The 7355-nt window shown below is 43.6% G+C and overlaps 1 pseudogene; it reads right to left on the bottom strand.

The window, feature by feature from the left end:
• Positions 1-6137: 6137 nt before the first annotated feature.
• Positions 6138-6917, bottom strand: PDAP1P3 (PDAP1 pseudogene 3; annotated as a pseudogene).

Raw genomic sequence — 7355 nt, 5'->3', positions numbered from 1 at the left:
GCCTGTAATCCTATCTACTTAGGAGGCTGAGGCAGGAGAATTGCTTGAACACGGGAGGAGTAGGTTGCAGTGAGCCGAGATCTCACCACTGCACTCCAGCCTGGCAACAGAGCAAGACTCTGTCTTAAAAAAAAGAAAAGAAAGAAAGACAGTTTTATACTACTAATGGGGATGTGGAGATGGGCAGCAGAAATTTCATAGAGTACTTAGTTATGTCAGCATTAACTTTCTGTCATAGATGTTACATCCTGGATTAGTCATGAAACAGGAAGTTTAAGAAATGTCTAAAATGACAAGTTGTAATATAAAAGTAACAAATGCCTCTCTCACTTTTTTTGTTTTTGTTTTTCTTTTTTTTTTTTTTTTGAGACAGAGTCTCACTCTGTTGCTCATGCTGGAGTGCAGTGGTGAGATCTCAGCTCACTGCAACCTCCACCTCCTGGGTTCAAGCGATTCTCCTTCTTCAGCCTCCCAAGTAGTTGGGATTACAGGCACTCGTCACCATGCCCAGCTAATTTTTGTAATTTTAGTGGAGGCAGTGTTTCACCATGTTGGCCAGGCTGGTCTCAAACTCCTGGCCTCAAGCAATCCTCCCAGCTCAGCCTTCCAAAGTGCCAAAATTACAGGCATGAGCCATCACGTCTGGCCTATAGGTACCTTTCTTATTAAAGAAATGAATGAAAGAAAAAAAGCCTTATGACCTTAAGCAAGTTCCTTAACAGACCTCAGCTGCCCATTTATAAAATGAGAAAATTGGATTGGATAATACTAAGGTCCTTTCCACACATCATAATGTTTTTTCAGAAACAAAAAGGTCTCATGTGACAGGAACTGACCAAAACAAGCTACAGACCAGGCGTGGTGGGTCACGCCTGTAATCCCAGCACTTTGGGAGACGAAGGTGCCTTTGCAGATAGTGGATACTCAATCAAACCCCATCTCTACTAAATACAAAAAATTAGCTGGGCTTGGTGGCGCATGCCTGTAATCCCAGCTACTCAGGAGGTTGAGGCAGGAGAATTGCTTGAACGCAGGAGGCGGAGGTTGCAGTGAGCCGAGATTGCGCCATTGCACTCCAGCCTGGGCAACAGGAGTGAAACTCCGTCTCAAACAACAACTACAACAACAACAACAACTAGCTACAATGAAAATAATGATAAGGATGGGTAGAATAAAATATAGCATAATTCATTCAGTAATGCAAAGCACAGGCACTCAGTTATTCACCTGCTGTCTCCACAATTATCACATTTGTCAGAATTTGCCGTTAAAGGGATTTGTTGTGTTCTAGACTACACAACACTGTGGCAGTCAGGAAACCTTTATGCTACTCTTGGGGTTCCAGATCTCTGAGCTTCCTTCATTCTGCAAGTTACTAGTCAGCTATTTACATGTTGTATTCTTTACTATATTATAATCTCTAGGAGGGCAGGGATCACATCCTATGCATGTCTATACCCCATTCTACCTTGTCTAATACTTTGCAGATAGTGGGTACTCAATAAATGTCATTTGATGATCTCTTTGTCTAGTAAATAAATGTGAAACGTGGTTTTTAAATGGCATTTCACATTAAATAATATAACACTTATATAATGTCCATCACCTAAAATATTTGCTTTTCCTCATGCTCATTAAATATTTGATCTTTCTTCAGGGGTCAGATGAGGTTCATCCTTCTCTATGAAGTACTAATTGGTTGTTACAGCACTTAATTATGGCGTTTTCTTATTTATTGTACCATTCAGGTGGCTAAGTATTTTGGGTGGGGTCTCTATCACCACACTAGATTTTTATTTATTTACTTATTATTTATTTATCAGAGACAGTGTCTCCCTATGTTGCCCAGGCTGGACTAGAACTCCTGGGCTCAAGCGATCCTCCCACCTCAGCACGTTAGATTTTTAGTTCAGCACAGGAAGAAGCATGTAATTTCTCCTTTATCCTGTAAGCATGGTGCCTTCATAACAAAGTTGCTAAATAAATATTTGATGATGATCCTGATGATCAATAATAAGTGATTTACTGTTAAAGGTTTACTAGTTGCTTATATCAACCCCCCAAAATACTTCAGATACAAATTTTCTAAAAGGAACGCACTTTGGGAGTGACAGCTTTGCTCTCACCTAGGTACAGGCTCCCGCAGCCTGTCTCAGACCATACCCAGGCGCAGCCTTTTCTGTATTTTATTGTCTTCATTTTCCTGGAAGCCAGGGGATTTGGAGGATGATCAAATGGAAAGAAGGAATGAAGGGAAGGAGGGAGGGAAGGAGGAAATGAAAATATATTTGTGTACATTGTGAATATAATGTACAAGATGTAACAAAAGAATAGACAGGCAGATTTTGAAGACATTATAATCTACTGGAATAATCTGGATACACACAATTGAAAATATATCAAAGTATATAAATAGTGAAACCCCATCTCTACTACAAATACAAAAATTAGCTGGGCATGGTGGTGGGCACCTGTAGTCCTAGCTACTCAGGAGGCTGAGGCAGGAGAATAGCTTGGAGGCAGGAGAATAACTTGAAGTCGGGAGGCAGAGGTTGTGGTGAGCTGAGATCATGCCATTGCACTCTAGCCTGGGCAACAATAGCGAAACGCCATCTCAAAAAAAAAAAAAAAAGAAAGAAAGAAAGAAAAAAGAAAAAAACTGGTTGAGTAAGTAGGAGGAGGGGCTAAATTGATAAGGAGATTTAGGGCTCAGTGTAAATAATTTACAGTTTCTATGAGGAGCTGCTAAAAGCAATTCAAGGTTTATGAAAAAGGGCTTCATATTCAAACAGTGTTTGAGGAAGATTATTCTTGCCATAGTAATGACATTTATTGAACATTTCTTATATGTCTTATATGTAAGTGCTTTACATATTAGCCCATTTAATCTTACAACTACCCCATGAGGAAGACACTGTCATCTCTGTTGTGCAGGCAAGGAAACTGAGGCACAGATCCTGGGTAACTTGCTTCCTCAAGGCCCCATTGCTTCTAAATAGCAGACCTGGAATATGAACTCAGGCTGTCTGAGTCTAAACCTGGTGTCTCTTCTAACCATCTCGTGACATGGCTTCTCTTTCCATAGAGCTATGTATCTATGTGGGAGACAGATAGGAGATTCATCAGGAGGTAGCAGTGGTCTAAGGCATGTAGTGATTAGACTGAGTGGGACTGTGATCACAGAAAAAGCAAGGAAGGGATGAAGCTGAGAAAATTCACATGAGAGAATTAGACTTGCTAGGTATATTTGGAAATGGAGGTAAGGGATAGGGAGATAAGGATATTATTTCATTCCAAAAAGATTTATTATTTTTTTTTATGACAGGGTCTTGCTCTGTCACCTAGGCTGGAGTTCAGTGGCGTGATCACAGCTCACTGCAGCCTCGAACTCCTGGACTCAAGCAATCCTCCTTCCTCAGCCTCCCAAGTAGCTGGGAAGACAGGTGCCCACCACATCTGGCTATTATTTTTATTTTTTGCAGAGATGGGATCTATGTTGCCCAGGCTGGCCTCCAACTCCTGGACTCGAGCAATCCGCCCACCTCAGCCTCCCAAACTGCTGGAATTACAGGCGAGAGCCACTGCTCCCAGCCCCCCAAAAGATTAATGAATATTTACTATGTGCCAGGAACTGTGTTAGGTACTGTATTCGGTTAAGAAACAGTGAACCAGATAGACAGAGTCCCTGCATTTATGGAGCAAGATTGTGTTATTAGTGGAAAACAGGCTCTATATGCATAGAAAACACAACAAACTGGAAACACTGGTTGTTTAGGAGAACTAGATGGAAGCAGAAACGTAGAAGAGAAACCTGTTGAACTTTACAGTTCTATTAGAATTTGTCTAAAGGTTTTCCCCTCCTAGGCACGGAGGGAACAAAGGAAACATTGAATTTTAACACATGAATATGTTAACTATTTTAAAAATAGGGCTTTTTAAATATAATCAGATCTCATGATGTAAAAAATGTGTAGTTTTTTGTTTGTTTTTTGAGACAGTCTCACTCTGTTACCCAGGCTGGAGTGCAATGGCGTGATCTTGGCTCACTGCAACCTCTGCCTCCCAGGTTCAAGGGATTCTCATGCCTCAGCCTCCCGAGTAGCTGGGATTACAGGCATGCACCACCACACTCAGCTAATTTTGATATTTTTAGTAGAAACGGGATTTCTTCATGTTGGCCAGGCTGGTCTTTAACTCCTGGGCTCAGGTGATTTGCCCCCACCAGCCTCCCAAAGTGCTGGGATTACAAGCATGAGCCACCATGCCTGGCCTATAGTTTTTTGTTTTTTAAAAAAACTGAGATACTGCCAGGTGAGGTGGCTCACGCCTGTAATCCCAGAACTTTGGGAGGCCGAGGCAGGTGGATCATGAGGTCAGGAGTTTGAGACCAGCCTGACCAACATGGAGAAACCTCATCTCTACTAAAAATACAAAAATTAGCTGGGCGTGGTGGTGTGTGCCTATAATCCCAGCTACTCTGGAGGCTGAGGCAGGAGAATCGCTGGAACCCAGGAGGCAGAGGTTACAGTGAGCTGATACTGCGCTATTGCACTCCAGCCTGGGCAACAAGAGTGAAACTCCGTCTCAAAAAAAAAAAAACCAACCGAGATACTAAGACTACGTGCTGTGTACACACACACACACACACACACACACACGCCTGTATACGCGCAGACTTTCTGACAATTCATACAAGAAACTGGCAAAACTGGACCCCTTGGGGAAGGGAATTGGGTGGAAATAGAGGTGAGAGACTTTACCCTTTTGTACCATTTGTGTTTTTATGAATTCAATTATTGAATATACTTTGTACAAGTATTTACTTAATAAAAGCAAATGAGTTTTAAAAATAGCAATCAGAAACCTAGGAATTAATAGAGGTTTTATGGAGAAAGAATCCCACAAGTTTGAAATATTTTACATACCAGCGTGCTTTTCTTTAAGTTTTAACTTTTACCAAAATTAGCAAAGAAAAAGTATATGTGTGTGCATGCGCAGTAGAAGGAAACCAATTAAAACTTTGGTGTTTGTGGAAATAAGAGAATTAAAATATTTTGGCATTTGGTGAATGTGGGAAAAACTCCTCGGCTATCAAAATTCTCTAAATAAGTTTTCAAAAAATGCCTAAGGCAGTTTCACTTCTTACAATAGACACTCTATTGAAACAGGTTCAGGTGGTGGCCAACCTCCACCCATAGGTTGCAGGGTTTTTGTGATTTCTTGTAGAACTAACTAATCCTGACATGACAGTTTGTACTGTGTTTTAAATCGGAATTGATCCCCTCGGTTCCAAACAAAATTTGGATGATGAAACCTATTATTCTTTTGCAGAGTGAGGGCCAATTTGGTTGAACCACGATTAGAAAATTTAGTTGTATTTCTGGAGATATTTTAACTTTCAGGATTTTTTTTTTGAGACAGAGTCTCTGTTGCCTAGGCTGGAGTGCAGTGGCGCAGTCTCAGCTCACTGCAACCTCTGTCACCCGGGTTCAAGCGATTCTCCTGCCTCAGCCTCCCGAGTAGCTGGGATTACAGGCACCTGCCACCATGCTGGGCTAATTTTTTTTTTTTTGATAATGTCAAGTTTAATCTGCCAAATATACAAGTTGAATTTGTGGAGCATGTTTTTCCCAGGTGCCACACAGTAAACAGAGGTTTCTTTTTTCTTTTCTTTTCTTTTCTTTTTTTTTTTGACACAGAGTCTTGCTCTGTTGTCCAGGCTGGAGAACAGAGGTTTCTTGAAATGATCAATGGGTCGGGTGAAAAATGGGCACTGGCCCTGGCTAGGTGGGTAGGAACCAGGTGGGGAAGGGCAGAGAGGTGAGGCCTTGGTCAGACAGGACTGACTGAGGCAAGCCATGACCCTCAAGGACCCAGGGGCGCAGGCTCCCAGATGACAGCCCCTCTCTGAATGAGCTCCCAGGCAACACAGTCCAGGGCTGGGTGTAGCAAACCCGTCAGCAGCTGCCTTCTGGCACGACCACTCCATTACGTGCTATCTACCAGACAAATGAAAGCTCTTCTTACCCGATCTCCCAGGCATCCCCGAGCAGGGGCTCTGAATTCTAAAAACAGCAAAAACATTAAAATGGTTCCATATGAAATGCTGTCCTGCATCTTTCTGTGTCAAAGATAACAGCTGCCCCTCCCCCACCCCACCCCCACATCCCTCAAACAATTTCTGTGCCAAGATGAAGAGGAGGCCCCAGGCCATGGGGGGGCTCCTGGCTGTGAGGGGCTGTTGCAGCAGCACCAGGGCACAGGGTGGGCGAGACACAGCAGAGGTCCTGGCAGTGCAGCCCAGGTCCCCAGCATCTCTTCCCATGGGTCGCGGTTACTTATTCAGGGAGAGCGACTGCATTCGTTTTCCTGACAATGTGGCATCGTCTTTTGCTTTCCTTTCCTCTTCCTTCTTCTGGGCAGTGTCCTCCTGCTGTTTCCAGATGATGACCAGCCAGGCCAGGTTGGCCTTGGTTTGCTATCTCTTCCCAGCCAAGTGCATTTTCATGTAACGCTCTTTTGCCTTCTGCTTCTCAATCTCCTCTCGTTCTCTCCTCAAAAGCTCCTTTGGCCCATCCAGATCCAGTTGTGTGACCTTTTTGGTTGTCTGTGCCACCCGGTTGGGATTCTCGATGTCAATGAGCCCTTCAACACCTTTGCGCCTTTGCTGGTAGTCATCTTCATCTTCACTCTCATCTGAGTCTAGAGATTTCTTCTCCTTTTTGGGGTCACCTGCAGCCCCGTCTCCACCTTCTTTTTGCTCCTCTTCTTCCCTGGCCTTCTGCTTCTCAGACTGCAGCTGCGTGTCGATCTCCTCAGGGCTTGTATATTGCCTCGCCCAGCCTTTGTGGCCTCCCTTTCTCCCTCCTTTAGGTATCATGGCTCCGGCGGTGGCAGCGGTGCCTCAAACTGACACCAGAACTGGAATTTTTGTATTTTTAGTAGAGATGGGGTTTCACCATCTTGGTCAGGCTGGTCTTGAACTCCTGACCTTGTGATCCACCCACCTTGGCCTCCCAAAGTGTTGGGATTATAGGTGTGAGTCACCGCGCCCAGCCAGGATTTTAAAAAATTTTTTCAGACAGGGTCTCGCTCTGTTACCCTCACTGCAGCCTTGAACTCCTGGGCTAAATGGATCCTCCCCACCCCACCTCCCAAGTAGCTGGGACTACAAGCATGTGCCACCACTAACCTGGCTAATTTTTAATTTTTTTTGTAGAGATGAGGTCCACCTATGTTGCCCAGACTGATCTCAAACTCCTGGGCTCAAGCTATTCTCTGACCTCAGCCTCCCAAAGTGCTGAGATTATAGTTGTGAACCACTGCAGGCAGCTACTTTTGGAATTTATATATAT

Source organism: Homo sapiens, chromosome 6, assembly GCF_000001405.40.
Source record: "Homo sapiens chromosome 6, GRCh38.p14 Primary Assembly".
NCBI lineage: Eukaryota > Metazoa > Chordata > Mammalia > Primates > Hominidae > Homo > Homo sapiens.
The sequence above is the reverse complement of the archived record's forward strand: the minus strand, read 5'-3'. Positions and strand labels throughout refer to the sequence as shown.